The 26,187-nt window shown below is 35.3% G+C and overlaps 1 long non-coding RNA gene across 1 annotated transcript in view; it reads right to left on the minus strand.

Moving 5' to 3' along the window:
• Positions 1–701: 701 nt before the first annotated feature.
• Positions 702–26,187, minus strand: part of LINC02438 (long intergenic non-protein coding RNA 2438) — a 238,399-nt gene continuing 212,913 nt past the window's right edge. Inside the window, exon 3 of the long non-coding RNA XR_001741605.2 lies at positions 702–973. This is a non-coding gene — a long non-coding RNA (long intergenic non-protein coding RNA 2438). The remainder of the gene's footprint in view (positions 974–26,187) is intronic.

Here is a 26,187-nt window from a genome sequence, read left to right on the forward strand (position 1 = left end):
CTGTCATTCTCTCTTCTGTCCCTCTGTGAAGAGGTGCCTTCCATCATGATTGTAAGTTTCCTGAGGCCTCCCCAGCCATGTGGAACTCAGTCAGTTAAACCTCTTTTCTCTATAAATTACCCTGTCTCAGGTATTTCTTCATAGCCGCATCAGAATGGGCTAATATATTGTGTAATTAATTTGCAAATTTGCAAATATTTTCTATCAAATATTTATTTGCCGTAATTTCTATTTCTTAAGAAGCTTGTAATATATTGCAAGCATATTCCTCTACTTACATTCTAATTTTGAGGTATTGACTACAAGTCACAAAACAGTCAAATACTAGTAATGACAATGAGTATCCTTTTATCCTTGAGTATGACAATAATATGAGTATCTTTATAGCATGACATAATTACCTTAGTTTTCAAGATTTTAAATTGATTATCTTCTTTTGAATGAGGAAATATATTTTTTTCTTATTTTACTAAATTTTATATTATTGAGGAATGGATGATATGCTTCATCAAATATTTTATGCATTCAACTAGATGTATTTTTTTTTCTTGTAACTGAAGTCATGAATTACAGGGATTAATTCCTTAAAATTGAGCACTTTGTACATCAGGATAATTTTCTACATTTTTATTGTTTTCTTATTATTTCAAGGAAGTGAAGGACTCAATTAACTTGTATTTGTATTTAAAATAATAAATGAGTTTGCTCACTAGTTTTCTTTTATTAAGATTACTTTGTCATGTTTTGACTTCAGGGCTGATTGAATAGTTTGTATGGTTTTAACTAAGTTAGTAATTCATAGGTTAGTTAAAAGTATTCCTTTTTAGAAATAGAACCATCAGCTATAGTTACTACCATCTTATTTCAAGGCACTATCACATTTGCCTGTATGATTTCAGTAGTCTCCCTACCAGTGTCCTTGCATTCACTCTGGTGAGCCCACATTCTCTTTTCCACACAGCGGCCAGTGACCCTTTCAAAACAGAAATCGAATCATGTCAGTCTTTTGTTTAAAATCCTCCAAAGGCATGTCATCTCACTCAGAGTAAAAGCCAAAACATTTTTATCATGAATTCATACTCTACAACTTGTACTGTATGGAAAAGTACTGGTCACTAATCAATTTACTGAATACACAAATAAAGTAGGAATGCAACATGATTAGGAGGGTGTATATACCGCTTCTCACAGTATTACCCTTTGTTCTCCAAATCCAGATAGCACTTACTCGCTCCCTCTAGATTCTCAGTATTTCTATTCAGAGTCATCTGAATGTTACAGGAATGGGGATGGTGATGTCATTGTAGGAAATGTAATAGGGCTTGGTATATAATAAAATGGAACATCAGAATAATAAAATATTATGAATAGACACATATTTTATGCATATCTGTATGTATTTATGTGTGTATATATATGATTTTATGTGCATATAAGTTTTTTTAAACCTACATAAATCATAAAATATGAAGTATGGGTATTTATTCTGCAGTAATATAAACTTGAAAATATTTTGCTTGATAAAAACTCAACCCAAATGATGTCATGCTCGAAATTCCATAGAATGTCTTACTTCCATTATATTTGTTTCTCTCTCCAGCTGCATTATTTTTATGTAGTGATTCCTCTATAATTATTCTCTTCATATGACTGTAAATCTCACCCATGTCAAATACAACTTAGACTTTAAAAATATTTTGCTTTCTGATTATATTTGGAAAAACATAAGATATTAAAGTGTTGTTTCAGGTATCTCTTCATTTCTTTATGCCTAAAGAGAATGTTAAAATGTACTCAGCAATTCTTATTAAAATTGTTTCCCTCAGATTATAAAATGAAAGATTGAAACCATAGACGTTTAAAAAATGCTTGTTTTCTTGGCAGGTTTTAAATAGTAAGTTGCCTGAACACTATAATATTCAAAATCTTTGCTTTTGTCTTGGAAGTTGCCTTAGAGAAAATGTTTAATTTTGAATTTTCATTTATATTTTTAATATTGCTTGGTAACACTACAAAATAAGGTCTCCCAAATCTGTTCCACTACAAATTATACACAGTACATAGATTTATAGACCTGGTAAAAAAATTGTAAAATGTTTATTGCATGAACAATTTAGGGGAATATAGATAATATATTTGGGTAATTTAGTTCCTAAACTCCGTAAGAGTGAAGCAAAAATAGGCTCTTTTTAAGCACATTTTCAAGACAGTAGCATCCAAGTAAATGGCTTAAATACATGCCATGTCTAAATATGTTTTATTTCTATACTGAAAAAAATGACCAATTGTTTTTCTATTATTTTATTTATATTTATTTCCTTTTCTGAAAAATATATAGGAGAATTTAGAGGCAGTGGGATGTCTTCCTAATGGAATGGAAGGAAGAAGGAGAGGATGGCAGTGAGGAAGAAACAAACTATTTCTCAAAGAATTAGGTCCTTAGTTTTTAATAAACATTTTTCAAGGATATATTATGGTCAAAGCGAGTTACAATTTACTAAGGAAAATATACAGATAAACAACAACAGACTAATAAATTGCCTTAATGGATCTAGAGATAAGTGCAGGAACAAAAACAAAAAGAGCACTGACATCTTTTTTTTAAGTTTTAAATTATGTTTTAAAATTTTTGTTGGTACATAGTAGGTGTATATATTTACCGAGCACATGAGATGTTTTGATACAGGCATGCAATGTAAAATAAGCACATCAAAGAGAATGAGGTATCCATCCTCTCAAGCATTGATGGAGGGAATGGATACCCCATTCTCCATGACTGAGTTGCAAACAATCCAATCACACTCTTTTAAGTTATTTTAAAATACACAATTAAGTTCTCATTGACTATAGTCACCCTACTGCCTTGTCACACATACGCTGCTTTAACATCCGGTGCGTTTAGCTACAGAAAGTAGAAGAGGAGGCTGCTGTTTAGATTTTAGCCTATTTGTGTAAGATCGTGAGGTCTTACTCAATACATGTTGAATAAATAATCCCAAGAATGATCATTAAATAAGTTATGGCTACTTAACTGTGTTGCATTATGATGGTAGAGTCTATGAACTTTAAATCCATCACTCCTGTCCCTTCAATATTTGTTTTTAGCAATAATTTATTCTGAGTATAGTTTAGAAAGGATACTACTTTTCCATGTAGCAAAAAGTTCATTGTATTGAGAAGGATTTTCTAGGTTCTTGTCTTGGATTTATAAATAGCACTTGGACTTCAACAAATCTCCTAATATTTTACAGCTATCATTTTCTTATTTGACAAATAAAGGTTTGCATGGCTTTTTTTAGGACACTGTAGCATTCGGTATTTCTCTGAGTTAAACACAAAATAATGCAACATTATTCTTAGAATGCTTTCAAATACTCCTAATTATTAATATAATTTTCAGCCCTGGTATTTAAACTCATTTTTATTATAACTCTCATAAGCATGTTCACAAATAAATATTAAAGGAAAATGTTTCCCTTTTTTAAAAAAATATAGACCTAACCCTAATCTATCATGAATCAGGGCAGTTACTTAAATTTATGTCAGGTAATGATATTGTAGATACTCCTGATTCTGTAGGAAATTGTATACCCTGTTTACAATGTCCTGGTGAGAAGGGATTGGTATCATTGCACCATTCTCTGTGGCTTCTCCTGTTTTGGAAATGAGTTTGGTAACCTAACAATGCATATTTCCTTGATTTCCAGGACAAAATATGTACAATTTTCCCTCTGTCATTAGAGTAGGTGTTCATGGTATGAAACTGATGAATGTGTGGCCTATCAATGAACCTCATGAAAGGTTTCCAACTTGAAATAATTTCCTAAGCTTAGAAGGCAGTTTGGCCGGGCGCGGTGGCTCACACCTGTAATCCCACCACTTTGGGAGGCCGAGACGGGCAGATTACCTGTGGTCCGGAGTTCAAGAACAGCCTCAACCACATGGAGAAACAGCATCTCTACTAAAAATACAAAATTAGCCGGGCGTGGTGGCACCTGCCTGTAATCCCAGCTACGCAGGAGGCTGAGGCAGGAGAATCACTTGAACCCGGTAGGCGGAGGTTGCAGTGAGCCAAGATTGCGCCCCATTGCACTCCAGCCTGGTCAACAAGAGTGAAAGTCCATCTCAAAAAAAACCCAAAAAAACAAACACACACACACACACACACAAACCTACAACAGGCAGTTTAAGTAAAAAGGAAAAAGATACATATATATAATATTATATATAAATATATATTTACAACACACCATAAGAATGTAATAGAACAAATGCATAGTGTAATTAAAATCACACCACTGAATCACCAATTTAAATAAAGCATCTCTGCAGTTAAATTGTCATATTTTTGCATTCAGTTTTTGTTGGAGAGACAATAATTCATTTTAAAAAGGCTAAATTGAACAGCTAATTTATTAATGAGCATTAATTTTTTGGAGACAGAGCAATATATTGTATGTTTTTTATTTTGCAGATCAGTAATGAAATGTTTCAATTACCTTCAGTTCAGTATCATAACATGTTTTAAATTCTTTAGAAATGACTCTGTCTTCTAAAGAGGAAAAATGATTCCAAACATGTTTACTTCTCAATTCTCATTTTTTCAGTCAATGTGTGCAGAGTTGTAGGTACTCTGGGATCCAAAGGTTTTTTTGCGAATTTGATGCTTTACTTTTGAAATTTTGATAACTGTCAGCACCGGTAATGGTTGACAGTGAGAACTCTTGAGTCAGACCACTGACTCCAAATCTTGACCTGACCATTTAACAAGTGTATATTCATGAGAAGCTTATTAAATTTTCCTAGAGTGCAGTTTTCTTATCTGTAAGGAAACAGTCATAGAACGTTCCTTGGAGTTTTCAGCAATTAAACTTATAGCAGTGAGATAACATATAAGAATTGCTTAGGCCGGGCGTGGTGGCTCACGCCTGTAATCCCAGCACTTTGGGAGGCAGAGGCAGGCGGATCACGAGGTCAGGAGTTCGAGACCAGCCTGACCAACATGGTGAAACCCTGTCTCTACTAAAAATACAAAAATTAGCCAGGCGTGGTGATGCGCCTGTAATTCCAGCCACTCAGGAGACTGAGGCAGGAGAATCACTTGAACCAGGGAGGCGGAGGTTGCAGTGAGCCGTGATTGCGCCATTGCACTCCAGCCTGGTCGACAGAGCAAGACTCCGTCTCAAAAAGACAAAAAAAAAGAAAGAAAGAATTTCTTAGAACACACTGGCATATAAACATTAGGTATTTTATTAAGCACTATGCTAGAAGCCCGGGATACAATGGAGAGCAAAATAGTTATTTTTCTCTTTTTTCACTTGGATAACTTTATTTATTAGTGTAATTCTCAATCCGTAAAGTTCACCATTTGAAATTGTAAAATTAAATGAGTTTTGCACAATTCAGAGTTGTCCAACCATAACTGATAACTTTCTTCCCTCCCAGCTTTACCGGAATAGAATTGGTATGCCAAAACTGCATATAATTAATATATAATTAGCATACCATTTGGTAAGCTTGGACATATGTTTATATTCCTGTTACCTTCACCACAATCAAGGTGACAAACGTACCCATCACCTCTAAAAGTTTTCTTGTGTTGCTTTGCTTTTCATTGGTTTGTTTGTATTGAACACTTAACTTGAGATTTACCCTCTTAACCATTTTTAAGTGAGTGATACTTTATTGTTTACTATAGGAACTATGTTGTTCAGCAGATCTCTAGAACTTACATAACTTTAACTTTATACCCATTGAATAACAGCTCCTCATATTCCCCTCCGTTCACTCCCTGGTAGCCATCATTCTATTGTCTACCTCTGTAAGTGTGACTATTTCATTATTATTATTACTCTTATTATTAATTATTATTATTATTATTTGGAGACAGAGTCATGCTCTGTTGCCCAGGTTGGAGTGCAGTGGCTTAATCTCAGCTCACTGCAACCTCCGCCTCCCGGATTCAAGCGATTCTCCTGCCTCAGCCTCCCAAGTAGCTGGGATTATGGGTATCCACCACCACGTCTGGCTAATTGTTTTGTATTTTTAGTAGAGACAGGGTTTCGCCATGTTGGCTAGGCTGGTTTCGAACTCCTGACATCAAATGATCCACCTGCCTCAGCCTCCCAAACTGCTAGGATTACAGGCGTGAGCCACCGTGCCTGGCCAGTGTGACTATTTTAGATACAGTATTTGTCCTTCTGAGACTAACTTATTTCACTTAGCAGAATGTCTTTCAGGTCTGTCCATTTTGTTGCGAATGGTAGGATTTCTGTCTTTTTTAAGGCTGAATAATATTTTATTATGTGTTTATACCATAGTTTCTTTACTCAATTGTCAGTGAACATTTCAGTTCCTTTATCTTGGCTATTTTCTTCAGTGCTACAATGGACATGGAAGTGCAGATATTTCTTTGAGATCCTAATTTCGGTTCTTTTAAACATATATCCAGAAGTGGGATTGGGATTCCTGGGTCATATGGTAGTTCTATTTTTAATTTTCTGAGGAACCTTCATACTGCTTTCCATAGAGACTGCACTGTTTTACATTCCCAACACAGTGTACAAAGTTTCCTTTTTATCCACACAGCCACCAACAACTATTATCTTTTTTGTTTGTTTTTATAATAGCCATCTTAAGAGTTTGGTGATATTTTATTGTTGTTTTTATTTGCATTCCTTGATGATTAGCGATATTGCACAACTTTTGATATACCTGTTTGCTGTTTTTATGTCTTTTTGGAGAAATGCTTATCCAAGTCCTTTGCCCATTTATAACTGTTTTTTTTTTTTTTTTGCCATTGAGTTTATAAGAGAAGCACTTCTAAAGAATTCTTGCAGAAGGAGATAGGGAGGAGAGAGAGAGAGAGGGGAGAGCTAGAACTATAATGAAATACAGTATGTCTGTATTTCACAAGGTAAAACATGTTTATAGTCCTACAGCTTACTACTGTGATTGTTCTTATTTCAACATTATTGTGCTATTTCAGATATAGCAAGTCTTTTTAGAATGACTTAGAAACTTGAAACAAATTGACTTGATGCTATTTGCCTCTGGGAAAGTGGGGAACATTACTTCCACATTAACAATATCTTTTTAAGGTAAGTAATAAAAGTTAAATTAGTGAACACTAGATGGCGGCATTTAAGAAAAATTAAATCAGAGTAAGTTACTGCGCCACATTAAAAAAAAAATCAGATGTCTCTCACAACAATGACTTGTTTTTCTCATTTATTTGTTTGTTTTGTTCACTATTTGAAATAAGATTTTAGAAGTCTGGAGAAAATATTAAATAGGTGGGAAGGTACTAAAATGTATTTTTCTTGTTTTACAGGTAGAACTCATTGAACACTTGACTCCTGAATGTTCAGATCTATGTTTGAGTTGTTCCGCTAATCCTAGGAGAGTGATTAAAGGTCCACATGTAGTATAAAAGGACCAATGTTTAGGTAGGTGTTTGCTAAGAGGAAACATTTTTGAAAGAAACTTGTTCTGAGTGTAATGCCAGGCATTTAGGCACCAATGATTCCAGAATTTTTTGTTTTTTAAACATACAATAATGGGTAGAATTAATTGAGTGCTTAGGAAAGTCCCAAGTACAGGGATACAAACTTTACATATATCACCTCACTATATCTTTCTACAGTCTAATAAGGTAGGTATATTTTTGGTCCTGTTTTGTAGATGAGGATTTGGAATTTTAGGTTTACGAACTTGTGAAAGCTTATACCATTTTAAATGAGAGTTGAGTTTCAAATATGAAGTCCACATTATTTTGAGTCTAGACTGAGATTTTAACCATTCCACAGATTTTCACAGACCTCAGATTTACAGATTCCTGTAAAATGCACAATTTTGAAACATAGGTATAGCATCAAGCTAAAGTTAAATGTGACTTTGAAATGGGTTGAACTGCAGAGAGGTACCAAATTCCTTACAAACAAACAAACAAACAAAAAAGTAAACTTTTGGACTCATGATCCACAGAAAATATTTGACTCTTTTGATTTTGTTATATCAGAAAATTCAATTAAAATTAATTTTATTTGTAGTTATCTTAATTGCTGTTTTGGATAAACTCAGATATTCATGTAAATTAATCTCTAAAATATTACAGAAAAAAATTATATATTTTGTCCTTAAAAGTAAACAATTGATGAGATTCAAATAAAAGGAAATAATCAAATTACTCTTTTTAATATAGATACAAGTCACACGGCGTAGACGTTTGTTACGTTAAATTACAATATCAATCTGTTGGACCACTTAAAAATATATAATGTCTATAATATAGACATTATATATAATGTATATAGTATGTATTATATATAATGTATATAGTATGTATTATATATAGTATATATTATATATAATGTATATAATATATTATATATAATGTATATAATATATTATATATAATGTATATAATATATTATATATAACGTATATTATATATTATATATAATGTATATTATATATAAAATATTATATTTATATATAATATATACATTATATATAAAATATTATATTTATATATAATATATACATTATATATAATATATAATGTATACACATTATATATAATGTATAATGTATACATTATATATTATATATAATGTATATTGTATACATTACATATATGTAATATATATAATATATATTATATATAATATATATTACATATATGTAATATATATAATATATTATATATATTATATATATTATATATATATTATATATTATATATATATTATATATATTATATATATATTATATATATTATATATTACATATATATATAATTTATATATATATTATATATTACATATATGTAATATATATATATTTTTTGAGATGAAGTCTCGCTCTGTCGCCCAGGCTGGAGTGCAGTGGTGCGATCTCCGCTCACCGCACGCTCCACTTCCCGGGTTCATGCCATTCTCCTGTCTCAACCTCCCCAGTAGCTGGGACTACAGGTGCCCGCCACCATGCCCAGCTAATTTTTTGTATTTATAGTAGAGACAGGGTTTCATCGTGTTAGCCAGGATGGTCTCGATCTCCTGACCTCATGATCCACCTGCCTCGGCCTCCCCAAAAAATTTATTTTATCATAAGTTGATGTAGACAATGTGAAGAATATGGAAGACAAAAATGTTATTAAAATACACGTACTATTACCACCCCATAAATAAGCTTTGTTCATATGTGGTATATTCTTTTTTAGTGTTTTCTTGATGTGTTAACTGTGAATGTAGAAAACACAGATGCACAGCTCCATAAACACAAACACACACACATCAGATGCACACCCATATGTCTGAACATTGGAATAACTTGGAATATAAAACTTTAGGTACTGTTATCTTTTTTTAATTTAACATTATTTTATATGCATGTCCCTTGGCCTGTAAATACTCTTTGAAAAACTACATAATGTGACATTGTATTCATTTAACAAAATGTATTTAAACTTTCCCATATGGGTGTACACTCAAGTTATTTTCTGTTATTCATTGTAATAAATAATTGAAGTGAACAAATGTATATATAATTTTCAACTGTTTTTACTATTTCTTATTATTTCTTTCAGACTGTTTCTTAGAGCTGAAAATTCTGGATTGAAGAGTACAAACATTTTAAAATTCTTATATACATGCCAAATAGATTTTCAGAAAATATGTACCTATTCTTATTTACACCGATATCTTATTAAACTGCTTGTCATTCTCAGCAAATTTTAGCATTTTTATTTTTAAAATCTTAATTAATTGGTGTATAAAAATAGTATCCCATTATTGTTTTAATCCCCACTTTGTTGATTACTAGTAAGCTTAAACAATTGTTTATGCCTGTATTTTTTATTTGTATTTCTTTTGTGCATTGGCTGTTCATGTTCCTTTTAGGCAATTTTATTGAAATGAACATAAAAGCAGCATCAAAACAACGTGGTTGCCATATAACTACCAACCAGTTTGAAGCCAGCTTAACTCTTTTTGTTAGGAATATGAATAATGTACAAAGAATTCCGCAAAAGAAAAATGAAAAAAAAAGTACCTCGAGGGTAGAAAACTGATGCTAATCATAGCATTGTTTTTTCATGAAAATAAGGCATGCTTTGAAGTATTTTTGCTACTTCCCTTCTATTCCCTTGGTTAAATGTTGTTTTCATAATGTTTACACAGTTAACCTCGGTACTTTTAGTACTTATCTAGTCTTGATGCTTTCTCAAAAGCCCTCTCCTTATTTGATTCATGAACTTCGGCTTTCTTAAATTGATTTATATTTCTGTCAAAAATGATTTCATAGTTTAATGCACTGTCCAAAATCCATTTCTTATGGCATGCCTATTGCTTTAGAAAAGTTCATTTTATGTGCATATAATATATATTTCTGCAATCTTTGAGCAGTATTTTCCATTTCTGTAGCAGCAAGCTAGTGCTTTGAAAGATAATACTGTCCAGACGTGACCTAGTGGCAGACTTTTCTAGCTTTCCAATATTGGGTACTGTGCATTTATATATAAAAGAGAAGTGGGCACACTCATGTGGATACATGTTATAAAGCAAAAACAAAATTCTAAGCTCCCCAGCTTACTAAATGGACTTTTCTTCTCAGCCACGGGGACGTCGACGAAACCTGAATAAGTAGTACCGGCCGTAATGGGAAGAGGGGAATTAGACATGCCTCACTATACTCTCCTTTCTTTAGAATTCAGGCACAACTAACCAGGATTAATATTAAAACAGAGATCTTAATAAGAAAGAAATAATACAGGGTGGTCACAGGAGAATAGAATATTTCACGCAGCAGTTTCACATGACTAGCAAGAGGAAACGGTTGAAATAGCTGCATAAACTCGGGGCTGATAAGAGCCTGAAAAACCAGAATGTGGGTCAAGCTGGCCAAGACGGACTGGACGCAACATGGCACTGGATTTGACCTAGGTTTCACCCATGACTTCATCATATGCTCATTTACATACTAAATAATACGACCACCAGCTCCATGACTGTTCCTGGAATACCCATATTTGGTGTTAAAATGGGTGGCATCACAGTTCTGAGAAATCGTTACTTCTTTCTAGGAATACTTATGAATATCCCACCCCTTGGTTAAAGTAATTCATAAAGGTAGAGACCTCAAACTCCATTGCAAAACCCCCTTGAGTATATCTGCACTCTCCTTTCTTGAGTGCGTAGTTTTCTCTTTGCAATAAATCTTTGTACTTTAACTATTTTCCAACTCATCCTTGAATTCCTTCTTGCAACGGTGCCAAGAACCTGGACACCAGCTGGTATTGAGGTCCCATCAGTATTTAGGGACCTCTCCTAAAACATCAGTATCATCAATACTGGCAAAACAGACTCTGTAGCAATAAAATACCAAATTCCAACCTGACTCTAGTATAGCATCACATGACAGGTAGCAGGCCCTGGAAGAAATCAAAATATTCTACCACAAAATATATTTATTTGACATATTTTAAAATGGCCCTGCAAAGCTTTCTCTAGTGAGGGAAATTTACATTTTGTAGAGAATCATTTTCCCTTTCCAGGTCTTTTTTTTTTTTTTTTTTTTTTTTGAGACAGAGTTTCACTCTTGTCGCCCAGGCTGGAGTGCAATGGCGTAATCTTGGGCTCACTGCAACCTCCGCCTCCCAGGTTTAAGCGATTCTCCTGCCTCAGCCTCCCAAGTAACTGAGATTACAGGCATGCGCCACCATGCCCAGCGAATTTTTGTATTTTTTAGTAGAGACGGGCTTTCATCATGTTAATCGGGCTGGCCTCAAACTCTTGACCTCAGGTGATCCATGCGCCTCAGCCTCCCGAAGTGCTGGGATTACAGGCATGAGAGACCATGCCCAGCCTTCCAGATCTTTTTTGATTCTGAAAAGATTAGCTGAGAGTCTAGCACCTTTTAAAGGTGTGAATAGGAAACATTTGCCATCTATTGCTTCTAAGGGTGGGCACCTATGAAACTCCATCTACATAATAAGAACCTTGGTCTCCACCAACCCTTATCTCTTAACCCAGACACCTTTCTATTGATTTCTATCTTTAGATAATAACTTAACTCTTTCAAACAATTACCAACCAGAAAAAAAATCTTTGAATCCACCTGTGACTTTCAAGTGCCTTCTCTCCCTGCCACTACTTCAAGTTGTCCCACCTTTCCAGACAGAAACAATGTACAACTTACATGTATTAATTGATGTCTTTTATCTCCCTAAAACATATAAAGCCAGGCTGTAACCCAATCACCTAGAGCACATGTTCTCAGGACCTCTTGAGACTGTGCCTCAGGCCAATGTCACTCATATTTGGCTCAGAATAAACCTCTTTATATATTTTACAGAGTTTGACTCTTTTCATCAACAAAGTAGTGAAATGAAATTTCTATCCCCATCCTTGAGAGAGACATATATGTATTTATATGTAAAATATATAGAGAATATACACCCACGTGTTGCTTAATGAGGGAGATACATTCTGAGAAATGTGTTGTTAGGTGATTTTATCATTGTGTGAACATCACAGAGTGAAATGAGAAAAACTAGGCATTATAGCCTACGACACACCTAGGATTCATGGTCTTGCCTGTTGCTCCTAAACTACAAACCTGTGCAGTATGTTACTGTACTGAATATTCTAGACAATTGTAACACGATGGGAAGTATTTTTGTATTTAAACATGTAAACATAGAAAAGGTACAGTAGAAGTATGGTGTTATAACCTTGTGGGACTACCATTGTGTATGCAATTTCTCATTGAAACATCATAATGTGGTGCATGGCTGTGTGTGTGTGTGTGTGTGTGTGTGTGTATACACACACACACATATATTTTCTATGTTGACGTATATATCAACACATATGCCAAATATATATTTTTTTTCTGTGTTTTCATGGAAGCTTTTTAGTGAAAATGTGTTGAAACTGCTGAAAGAAAAAGGGAAGAGGCCTTTTACTTTCAGTTTAATTAGTGGGTGATTGTGAGGGGTGCTTTTTTCCCTTTTTTAAACCTATATGATTGGAATTTCTATTTCCTTCTACAAATGATATACAAAGGCTTAAATGCAGTGGTAAATTTTATGTGTCAAGTTGACTGGCCCCTAAGATGCCCATAGGGCTGGTAAAAGATGATTTCTGGGTGTGTGAGGGTATTTCCCAAACAGATCAGCATTTGAGTCAGCTGAGGGGAGAATATCACCCTCCACAATGTGGGTGAGCATCATCCAATCCACTGAGGGCCCACAAAGATCAACAAGACTGAGGAAGGGTGAACTCCCTCTCTTTCTACCACTTCTTAACTGGGACATCCATCTTTTACTGCCCTGAAACATCAACATTCTGGTTTTCAGGCCTTTATACTCCAAGCCTTACACCATTGATCCAGATTTGCAGGCCTTTGGATTCAGACTAGGAGTTTCACCGTCAGCTCCCCTGGGTCAGACTTTTGGACTCAGACTGAATTAGACCTCAGGGTTTCCTGTTTCTCCAGCTGTAGATGAGAGACCAAGAAACTTTTCAATCTCCGTGATCACATGAGCCAATTCTCAAAATGAATACATATTAATTTTGTTTCTCTGGAGAATCCTGACTAATACATGAAGTAATTAACATTTTCCACAATCACGGTGCTGTATCACCTTGGAATTAGGTAGAATCTTTTACCTGGCTCTGGAATATGTGTGGCAAGAAGCAAAACTCTATAAGAGAATTGTTTCTATTGGAATTAAAATGCCGCAAAGATCCTTTAAGACTGAAGTATATTTCCTCAAGTAAAAAAAGAAAAGATCTATATCATCAGTTGGAAGTAAACTGATTTTGTTCTCTCAAGGGTTGGACAATTAGATCTATGTCTCGTGCATATAGAGAGGGTAAGTAAATCTATAAAAGCAGGCGACAACACTATTCAAAACACTAAGGCTCTCAGCTCTGACTTAAACCAAGTAGATCAATCTCTACCTTAATAAGAAATAGTGTAGCTTCTTTCAATATGTTGTAAATTATTAAAACAATGTTTCCAGAGCCTGAATTTCCCTGAAGTGTATTTTGATATAAATGTCATTTTGTTGATGCTGCTTGCTGACCATCACTTGCCATTTTCCTTTACAACAATCCACATTTTTGTATGTTTAATAATTAAATTAATTTGATTTAAATGGTTGCTGTCTACTGGGCAAAAGGACATATTTTTGCCAGTGTATGATCCATAATGTTGAATGGCAAATTGGTCTGAGTGCTTCTTTTTTTCTGTCAAGAAGCAAAAACATTTTAAAAATAATATTGCAGGGATAATGTAGAGGGAGGGGATTTTTATTACTACTTCTACTTTCACTATCATCATGAGATTTCTATCAAAGTTTAGTCATTAAGGGAAATTAAACCATCTCAATTCTTATCCATGTTGCCAAGTGAGTTTTTCAACTATACATATAATTTTGTTCTTCATGTTCTTCCTCCATTTCTCTTTTCCTTTCAAATTCATTGCTGGAGAGAAAGAAAGAGAGAAAAAGGGAATTGATATTGCACATGGATTTATTTGTCCATTTAAGTACATCTACTTTATGATAGCCAGAGGAATCATTTATGCGTCACCAAATGAAGATCTCAAGGAGTTGATCTGTACTTGTTGAAGCTTAAGTCATTCAAGAAATATTATTTTAATGAACACAGCATTCATACTTGTTTGGGTTAACATATCATTTTTCAGTCCATTAAGATCAATCCTAGTAAAAAGATGCAAGATTTAGCAAATACAAGTAGAGAATATCTAGTTAAATTTAAATTTCAAATACACAAAAATACAACTTTAGTATATCTCTATCTCTATCTATCTGTCTGTCTATCTATCTATCTATCTATCTATCTATATATATATATATATATCTCCCAAATATTGCATGGGACATAGGTAAACTAAAAATGTATTTATTGTTTATCTGAACTTCAAATTTATCAGGACACTGTATTTTTTCTGGCTACACAATTCTGGAACCACTACGCACAGAGCTGGGGCCACTTGTCTCTACTCTCCATTAGCTAGCTAGCTGTTACTGCCTTACTGTCAAATTCTGATAAATACACAATAGATGAGAAATAGGTAAGTGTCCAGGCATGGTGGCTCACACTTGTAGTCCCAGTACTTTGGGAGGCTGAGGTGAAGGGATTTCTTGAGCCCAGGAATTTAAGACCAGCCTGGGTAACATGGCAAGACCTCGTATCTACAGAAAATTGAAAATACATTAGCTGAGTATGGTGGTACACGCCTGCGGTCCCAGCTACTCAGGAAAATTAGGAAGGAGGATCACTTGAGCCCAGGAGGTAAAGGCTGCAGTGATCCATACTTGTACCACTGCACTACAGCCTGGGCAACGGAGTGATGCCATGTCAAAAAAAAATAAAATGAAGGGAACAAAAGAAAGAAAAATAAAGAAAGAAAGAAGGAAAGGAAGGAAGAAAGAAAGAAAAAGAAAAAGAAAAAGAAAGAGGGAAGAAGGAAGGAAGGAAGCAAGGAAGGAAGGGAGGGAGGAAAAGAAGGAAGGAAGAGCCAGGGGTGTGTCATACTTTCACTTTTCTTCTATTCCTGCAAACAAATGTTTTATATTCAAAATTCTAAAGGAGTTTTATCCCTAGATACATATCTGTCACCCTACCCACTCATTCCAAGGAGCCAAGCAGAATATTCCTTCTAATTCTGTACTCAGTCTGAAAAGCAAAAGGTTCTTAAGACAGTCATCTAGAATGTCACAGTCATCATTTCAGTGGCATAAAATATGGATATACTTGGATGACTGCAATATTTAGCTGCTTGTCAGACTTTCAAGTAAACTCATTGTAAAAATTTCTGATTTCCTAGTATATGTATGCTACTGACTATATTTTCTCCCCGACTTTTTGTAGGTAAAACTGGTACTATTATTACTAGTATGCATTAAGAGAATGGGAGCATGGGCAGTCTTTTGTCTTCTAATCAGAAATATAAATCAATTGAGAAATGAACATTTGAGAGGTTAGAATATGTCAGGCACTATGCCATGAATTTATCAATGATTTGTGATTTCATGATTATCTCTTTTAATTTTTAACTCAGTTGTCTTATACTTCCAGGATTTTGATCATGTTGCTCTCTCTGCCCCTCTTATACCTGTCTTATATCATCTCTCTTTACCCTTTGGGACCTAGTTCAAGTACCACCACCTCTAGGTAGTCTTCTAAACCCATTTCAGCTGGTTTGGGAGGCATTTGTCTGTGCTTTCCTCTCCATTGTAAAAGTCACTTCTTTTCTGGCACTGGGTCGTGAGATCATGAAGCTTTGGTTACATATGTTGAGGGGCACCCCCCTAGTGCTTGTCATCCCAGGCTCCCTTCTCTGAATAACTGCCTGATCTATAGTCCAGAGTTTTCTTATGCACAAGAGTTTATTCACTCTATCTGCGACCTTAACCCATGCAGAGTTGATTTAGTGGAGATCTCCCAAAGATGAGGGATTGTCTGGGGCTTGGCCTAAGACATATTCCTATATGATTGATTTTGAGAGGGTCTATCAGGCTAGTTGGGTTAATTAGATCCTCTCTCAGACCTACTGATACAGATAAGGAGAGAATAGCTGAGTTACACTAGTGCCAGATATCTACAGTACTATATGGTAAATTCACCTGCTGCTCAAGAGACAGGGGAAAAAATATTGTTATTGCAGCTAGGCATTCTGTTTGACCCTCACTTTTTTTTAGCAAAGCTATCCTTGACCCCAAACTATGTTAAGCCCACCGATACATGCACTCTTGTTAAGTTTCACTGTTTTAAACTATATATTTATTTGCATGATTAATATCTTCCTCTCTATAAAGCTGTATTAGGTAGAAGTGGATTTGTGCTTCCAGTCCAGACATTCAAAAAGATACACAGCTGAATGAATGTTGAATGACCTGTTATTTTCATCATACTCTTCTCCAAACAGCTGGTAAATTCCTACCTACTAAATTTTACTTAAAACAAAAATCCCTCTGCTTAGAACGGTTTTAGAAATACGTGTTGAAATAGTGACATCAGTTAAGCCCTAGTGCCCATCCTTCCTCCCTTCACACACATTCATGGATTTCCTAGCCACCCAGGATTCTTACATCTGTGAATTCAGAACATTTATTATTTTTATTATTTTAAATGCCAGAGATATTCTGTCTTTCATTGTATGTGTATGCACATAACAAATTGACAACTTCCTGCTGTAAAATGATTATTTCATCTGTAATACACCACAGCAACTATAACTTACTCTTACCTAAGAAGTATAACAAAGCTGGGTGTGGTGCCGCATGCCTGTAATCCCAGCACTTTGGGAGGCCAAGGTGGGTGGATCACCTGAGGTCAGGAGTTTGAGACCAGCCTGGGCAACACGGTGAAACCCCATCCCTACTAAAAACACACAAAAAAATTGGCCAGGTATGGTGGCATGTGGCTGTAATCCCAGCTACTCCTGAGGCTGAGGCAGAAGAGTCGCTTGAACTCAGAAGGCGGAGGTTGCAATGAGCCAGGATCACGCCATTGCACTCCAGCCTAGGTGACAAAGAACTAAACTGTCAAAAAAAAAAAAAAAAAGGTATAACATGATCTGTTTGTTGACTGATACCTGATACGTGTTTTAAAATGAGCATAATTTTGGCCTTTTCTTTTTTTAATGAATATTTATTGAGCCTAATTTTCCACTTAGAGCAAAAGTCCAGGGAGGTTGTCAAGTTCAAGACAGCTAGCTTATTTTATATAACTATCAGTGTTCTGAAGAGAATACACTGGAGCAAGGAGATAGAGAATTACTCAGCCAGGCAGGGAAGGTCAACTCCAGAGTGAGTGGTTGCTGAAAGCCATTTGAACTGAAAACAGCTTTACAAGAAGACCTTACTATGCCTTGCTCTGGGGATAAAGCATGCCAGGCAGAGGGTATATAGCATATGCAAAGATCCTGAGGGCATAAGAACCTGGCCTTCTTAAGGAGCAAACATAACATCAGGGAGTCTGAATCATTGTAAGTAATAGTGAAAGTAGGAACAAGGTGAGATAAAGGAAAGATCAAGGAAAGCTTTGTAGGCTGTGGCAAGGCATTTGGATCTTATTTTATACTGGCTGGAAAGCCATTAGGGGTTAGTACACATTTGTATACATTTGTACAAACTGAAGTTTTTGTACATGCATAATATTTATTAAGCATCTCCTATATACTAAAAACTATTTGCAACCATTGCAATCAGAGATAATTTAAATAGAGACACTCCCTTCTAAAAAACCCCACAATCTATTAGAGAAACACACACACACACACACACACACACACACACACACACAAGCTACTTTGTATACTTAGAATGTAATAAGTGCTATATTAGAGACAGACTAAACTGTTAAGCCCAAGAGGGCAGAAGCATCTTCTGACTTGCTTATTTATGTTTTCTCAGCTTATAACACAGTGGCTGGCACACAGTAGGTACTCAATAACTGTCTATTGAAGAAAACAAAGAGAGAGGAAATATGGTAAATAAGGACATAAGTATGTAGGTATGGATTCTGTCTAGGAATAAAATATGCGTAGTTCAGCTTTTCTATTTGCTTTCTATGAGGGCTCATTCTGTGAACTGACACAGAGTTTATCTAATCTTCATTTTTCCCTGAATAAATCATGTCCTACAGTTATGGAGGCATCACCATTACAGGACCAAGGATTTTCAGTGGTAAATGTAGAAAAAGCTATCATGGATGTCCCAGGTGGGAGATTATATCAGCCAGTCCACTTATCTAGAGCTTGGGTGACATAAATGGACCTCACAAACACCGGGAATTTGCTTGACAGGCTTTGTGGAAATGCCAGCTAGCCTGACAAGTGCTTTATCGTGGGAAGTATGGGTGATAGTGATAAAGCTGAGGACATTGTAAAAAAGTGGGGACACACTAAAGAGTGTCACTGAGAAACAGAGTCAGGGAAGAGGAAAGAAGGCTAGGAGGAAGGCCTAAGGATTGCAGGGGGAAATCTTGGAAACTGAATACTTGACCTGAATAACTAATCAGAAGGAAGGAAATATGTATGTAAATCTTGAAGTGCCTCCTACAAGAAACCAAATACTGAGAAGGCAGCTCCTTGTAGTGTTTGTGAGCGAGTCACTGTGATTTTCATTAGGACCCCAGAGGCAGCCGTGCAGTGAAAGTATTTACCATTGCTTCCTTCTCCCTTCTCCAGCAACAACTGAAGAATGGCAGCAGCAATTGTATTCTGGGAGAGGACCAGGGGGAGTATAGACCCTCAGAACTAGAAGACTGCTTAAAGATCATCTGTTTCAAACTTTCATTCCACAGACAAGGCAACTTAGGGTGAGAGATGTCAAGCAACTTGCCACGGTCACTTTTTTGCTTCACCAGATGAGCCAATAAGAGAATCCAGGTCTCTTGATTCTAGTCCAAAATGTTTCTGGGCAACAGTGGAGCCCCAGCTGCTTTTTAAAGCATGGTGATCTGAAGGCAATTTGGCTTGAAGAGGCGCAAGGAGTGGTCAAGTGAGCTGGAATTCTTCAGCCTGTTCATTGGTCAATAACTGTGTTTATTGTTTAAACATAAATAGCATGAGGTAAGGTTTAGGGATGAAGGCTCAATGGTTAAGTGAGAAACCAAAAATCCTTAGAGACCATTCTAACCAATAACCTTAACTTCCTACATATATCATATTAATTTCCTACATATATCAACTTTGAGTTGTACTCACTTCATGCAAATCTTAAAACTAAGCTGGCATGGAAGGTATTAATTAGTCACTGTGTGGTTAACTAGTCTACTATAAAGTGGTGAAAAGCCATGGCATGGATCCTAGATTTCAAACAGACCTGTGTTTTGAGCTTGACTCTGCCCCGTATAAGTTATGAAATCTTGAGAGGAGATCTCATAATTTGTGCCTCAGTTTCCTTCAGTGTAAGATGAGATTAATGGCCCTGAATAATGATTATCATAATGCTTGGTTATCGTATAAAATAACATAAATACATGCATATACACATATGTACATGTGACAGCCAATAGCAGATGTTAAAATATTCATTGATGTTTATTATAAAAATAGGGCAAAATTATAAAGCTGAGTCAGTACCCACACTGGCAATATTGCTTCGCACTTTAGAGAATTTGATAATTTTGGAGTGAATTTTCAAATTACAAGGATCTATGTTCTTGGTTTTCTCCCTTACTAGTTATTTGAACACCGGACAAGTTACCTAGTAAGTATAAACATTCCTTATCATTAAAAAAAGGTGACAGAAGAAATGGGAACTTAGGGAGTAAGGTGCTATGAGGCTTACATTAGTTAGCCATGTAAAAGTTAGTATTGTGCCTGTCTCAGCTGTAACTATTATTATTTTTATTCACAGGAAGTTGCTTTCAGCCTTTCAGAACATGGTGCTATCTGAGACCGGGTGTTATAAGGAAGAAAGCATGACTTTGAGACAAAGTTTCCCTCTCTACCTCTGCTTCTTTCCCTTCTTATCATCACTAATGTTTTCCTAAAAGGCAGGCAGTTAGAGAACGGGCTACGGCATCATTTCAGAGGACTCAGAGCTTATAACCAAGCCACGCACAACATCCAATGAAAAAACTGGATTACTTGATGGGATTTGTCATGTACAAGCTTGAAGACAATGTATGAGTGTTATATTATTCTCATGTTTCCATAAAACCCAATATAAAAGAAAAAATGTTTTCCCCTGGCTAAGATTATATTTCTATCTCAGATCTAAGGTTGCATACACAGGAAGAAAGGTCTCTTCTCTTTGTTTTCAGATGAGGAACCAGAACAGACAGCATTCCACACTCTTTAGAGGCAGAGCTGGGGCTAAAATTTGGGATTCTATTAAGATGTTTGCATTGGATCGGCCGGGCACGGTGGCTCACGCCTGTAATCCCAGCACTTTGGGAGGCCGAGGCGGGCGGATCACGAGGTCAGGAGATCGAGACCATCCTGGCTAACACGGTGAAACCCCGTCTCTACTAAAAATACAAAAAAATACAAAAAAATTATTCCCAGCTACGCGGGAGGCTGAGGCAGGAGAATGGCATGAACCCGGGAGGCGGAGCTTGCAGTGAGCCGAGATTGCGCCACTGCACTCCAGCCTGGGCGACAGCGAGACTCCGTCTCAAAAAAAAAAAAAAAAAAAAAAAGATGTTTGCATTGGATCACGCTGAATTCATAAATTTCCCTTCTCTTAAACAATTGGTATGGAATGTAATTAGACTGAATAAATAACCAGACATTTAATTTCATGCATATATCTACCTCTTTTGGAAGATACTTTATGAAAGCTGTTCATTCAACATTGAATCCAGGCTCATGAGAATTCTGCAGAATGGAATTATCATCCTTTATTTACCAAGATGTCCATTAAAATAGAATAAACCAGGGATTGGTACTAATTTTAAAGCCATTTTGAAGACAAAAGAAAAAGGCTGGGCTCAGAATCACTACCTACTAAGTGCCAATGAATATCCTATACCAATACCCCTTCTTAGGAAGAAAACAGGAACCCATGGAAACGATCATGGATTCTAGTGTCAGAGAGATGTGGATTACATATCCAGCGCTATCACTGACTGTGGAATATCCTGAGCCTCACCATAAAGTGGGCATCATACCAATCTTACAAGACTACTTGAAAGATTAATTAGAATATAAAATTAAGGAGCATAATAGTAAGTGCTAAGTAAATACCAGTTATGTTCCCTTCCCCTTTCCTTCACTTCTTGGGGATTCATGGCTTTGAAACGTCAGTCTTTCCTCTCCTGGAGTGACTTGTTTTTCTTAAGAGCAGTCCACAGACAACATTCCTTTTAACTTCATGCTTTAAACTTCTGAGTAATCCCCCTTGGTGAAATGAATCATGTCCGCCTTTGACTTACATTATCATGTCTATAATCACCAATAGCTCTTTGGCTTCTGTTCAACTTATGATCATATTTATGTTGATCCCTTTAATTCTGGACTCCAAGGGAAGCATGCCCACCCCACTAAATATGTCAGTAGAGAAGGATATGCAGAATGTTGGTGTCAAAAGTAAATACAAGGGAGTAAATATTACTTAACTTTCACCTGAAAGAGGAGAAACTAAGTTCCCAACCTCCACACTGAGAACTCCAGACATTTGACAGTGACATTTTTAAATATAAAATTTCACCGTATTATATTGGTTAAATTTCTGAGACTGGACTCTGGACAGTAAGAAGAAAATTACCAGAACTAGAGGAAACCTTCTGAAATTGGAATAAGAATAGTTTTATAAAAATTTAATGATTTAGAACCACCAAATTTTATGCTTGGAGGGAGACTACAGAATCTTTAAGCCCGATGGAGGGAAAACCCCAACCTTAACCAAATTTGCTCTTCCTTAGAAAAATTGGAACACATTTTCTAGAACCTGTATGTTTTAACAAGATTTTTTAAACTGCTTTTACTTCCATAATATATTTAATATAAGAATATTTCAGCATCATTTAAATGACAATGTCAAAGTAGAATCATGTCTCAAGAGTTTAGTGCCAACATTTTTGTTTATATTTATAATCACATTGGTACTAAAAAAAATACTTAAGTGGCAGCATTTAAACATGATTGCAGTATTTTTAAAAGTTGGATACATGGAGTATGGAAAGTCTGGATTTTCATTTTCCTGAAGGCACCAACCATATTACTCAAGTATTTGAACCACTACTCTAAAATATTTGATTCGCTGAATGCTATGCATGTGTTTTTGGAAAATGTTTTAAACTTGTAGAAACTGCAGATATTCTCATCTGTAAAGTTGGTATAATAATGATCTTACAGACTAACATTCAATCAAATGACATAATTTAAGATATTTAGCTGTATTGTAGAGGTAAGATATGTACAATAAACTTGACTTAACTCTTTTCCTTCCTCTAAACTCTTTTTATACATTCACTTCTTGAGACCACCAGCAACATACATTTTATATATTATAAACTAAAATAAATAGTGGACTATTTTGTTATGAATAAATCACATAAAATTATTAATGTATCAAATGATGAGGGTAGGTCATCTCAGTAAAAACAGCTCTAAAATAAATAAGAAAGTTTGGAATATGTAGGGAAAATGCTGCTTTTTTAGGACAGTTCTCTTCTCTTACTTGGAGGAGAGACACCTACTCTCTCTCATCCTGGAAGTGGATCCTCTGATTCTATCATCAATAGGCAAAGTACCACCCAGTAAGGAAACCTATATTTAAAGAGATAATAGTACTAGCCAGGTTGCTTCAGGCATTGTATCTAATGAGTTTAGAATAAACCCTGGGTAACTTTGTATCAGAGGGTGACAGTTTTCCCCAGCTTTACTTTCTCTTTCCCTTCACTTGAAGTATTGGCAAAGGCCAGAAATTGTGCTACCATCTCAGTTGTATGCCTGCTACTGAATTTCATGGCTTGAGTGAGGACCCATCCTATAGTTTATGGCCCTGCCACACTTTTCCCTATGTCCTGGAAGACTGAATATTTTTCCTAAATCTCCCTAACATTTAATAAAGAGGAAGGTATTGGCCTGATAGGAACCATTCAAATACTGTAAAACAATGTTTGATTATATAATAAATAATTATTGAATCTGTAAATTTTCAGGATCATTTTGGGTATTAAATGGCTGAACAGGTTAGAATGACTAATGCAGTGTCTGGAACACACAGTAGATACTCTTAATTATGAGACACTTATTTTAATTATCTTTATTCAATTAGTGGAGGCTTTACAAATCTCTGTAGGAATTTGAAATATAATTTAGCTCTTTCTTAGCTACTTAACACTTAATGTAATAAGAATGTAGAGGCTGGAGTGGTGGGAGAAATATTTAGTAGGGTTCAAATCACTAATAGGAATAGATGAGATGGAAAGGTCTGGATTTAGGCAGATGTTGTCTATGTCTATGGGGATCAAGGCTTAATCATGAAAGACAGGAGAGTAAAGGCCAAACTGTATTCACATTGTAAATAGGTAAACACAAAGATAGAAATCATCCTGTAGAGAATGGCCAGATCCTGGTGGTTAAGAGTCTGGAAGGGGGCGGGCTCACATGTGATAAACAGATAAGGGGTGGATCATGGGAGTGATAACAGTAAGGGATGTTTAACCACGAAGCATCTGCAGAAAGAGGAAAATCCAGTTGCATAATCCAAAGTGACAGCATCCAGGCAGGGTCTGTGCTCTGTAGGCTGAATGTTCGAGGAGTCTGGAGAGGTGGGGTGTAATTAGTTTACAGATTTATCGTAAACAGAGATTTCCAAACTGATTTGTATCATTGAATGAGCCTAAACAGCTAATGTTGGCTGCTTCTTGTCTTTCATCTTTTTAAATATCATCTCCTCAGTGCCAAGAAACATGTACTGAGTGTAAAACCCAAGAGCAAGAATAAATCCCGGAAAAATGAGATAAAAGTATAACTGGGAATTTGTGCATGTGAGAGTACTTTGACTTTCTGGGTGACTTTACATACACACTTGCACCCAGCTGGGTTCATCTTGTGAGGAAGTAGATGAAATATGATGATGAGATGATAAGTCAGATTTTTAAAAACAATCTTGTCATTTCTTTCTGCATGCAAAGATGTCCTATATTCACAACAGTGAATGCAATGTAACTAATCCAGTTATTTTTATTTAGAACAATTTCAAAATTTCTTTTGAGCCACTCTTTGGTGAAATATATACCAACTTTTTTTATTTTTAAATGAAAAATTCTACTGTTCAGTTGAATCACTCTACTCTTTCATTAGTATTCACTCTGGCTAATGTTTGGCAGTTTCCAAAATTCAAATCCACCTTCAAATGGTGATGAATTTTATCATTGGTGATATTCAATATAGAATCAGTTGAAAATAATATTTTTACCAATTTTCATTCTAAGTAAGATGTGATTCTAAGGAAGAGCAAAGCCGTTTACAGTGCCTGTGGAAATAGCTAGATGATATGTTTTTCTGTAGACTCATCTTATGTATCTTTCATTTACTCTTTGTATTGACATTGATCTTTCACACAGCATAGGACTGATCTGATTTTACATAAAGCAAAGGGAACATGTCAATAGAATAAAATAATCAGGGTTAAGGTAGTTGCCTTGCGGTTTGTCTCATACAACTATATAATCAGTCTGTTACCTCAGTCATGTCTTGATGTTCGTTTGGATAATAATTGCAATTTGTTACTTTTGTCACTATTTCAGTGTTTACAGGACTTCGTCCATGGACATCATTCCATTTGATCTTCATAAACACTGTAGGATATTCATTGCAGAATATAAGATATTTTCTATTTCCATTATGAAGATGACGACTGTTGAGAGAGTTTAAGTGATTTGCACAAGTTACATAGGAGACTAAAAGAGTTCTAGTTTAAACATATTTCATGAAAGAACTCTTTCCATTCTACTATGTGAAACTCTAAAAAAAATTGTCTGCCATAAAATGAAGGTTTGCCTAAAAAACCAAGCCTAAAAATTTAGCAGAGAAGAAGTATAGAAAATATCACATAGCAAGGTAATTTGTTTATATGCATGTTATGCACATGCATGCACATGCCATAGAGAGAGAGACACACAGAGGCAGAGACAGAGAGAGAGAGAGCATGTCTGTGGTTAAGTGTATTTATTGGGTAGCTGATATAGCTCAAGTAGATTAAATGTACTGAGAGCATTCTTAATTTTTTTATATACAAGTCTTAGAAATGACATAGGAAAAACTAAAACAATTGTGGCCATTATTGATGCTATCTATGAGCCAAATAGGTATAGACTTTTGAAAGTATATATTGAGATTAAACTATCATTCTCTACAAATGATTGTGCTTATTGACGTTCTACCCCTTGCTGTTTTCACACAAGTTTTGCTCACTTTTCTTGAAAAACTGCTGTTTAAAGTTGACTTTGTTCAATAATGTTTTCCAGATTCAAAGTGTGCATATTGATTTATTTTTTGTCTCAACTTCAGTAACTCAATACTTCATGGTTAGTGTTTAATTATTCTCAAATTTTGTCTCATCTATCAATTTCTTTTCATTTAGAAAATAATTACTGAATGGACCCATGAATTGATTCTTTTTTATTAATTGGTTAATATTTTTAATTGATACATTGTAATTGTACATATTTCTGAGATAAAATTTTA

The sequence above is a fragment of the Homo sapiens genome, chromosome 4 (assembly GCF_000001405.40).
Source record: "Homo sapiens chromosome 4, GRCh38.p14 Primary Assembly".
Lineage (NCBI taxonomy): Eukaryota > Metazoa > Chordata > Mammalia > Primates > Hominidae > Homo > Homo sapiens.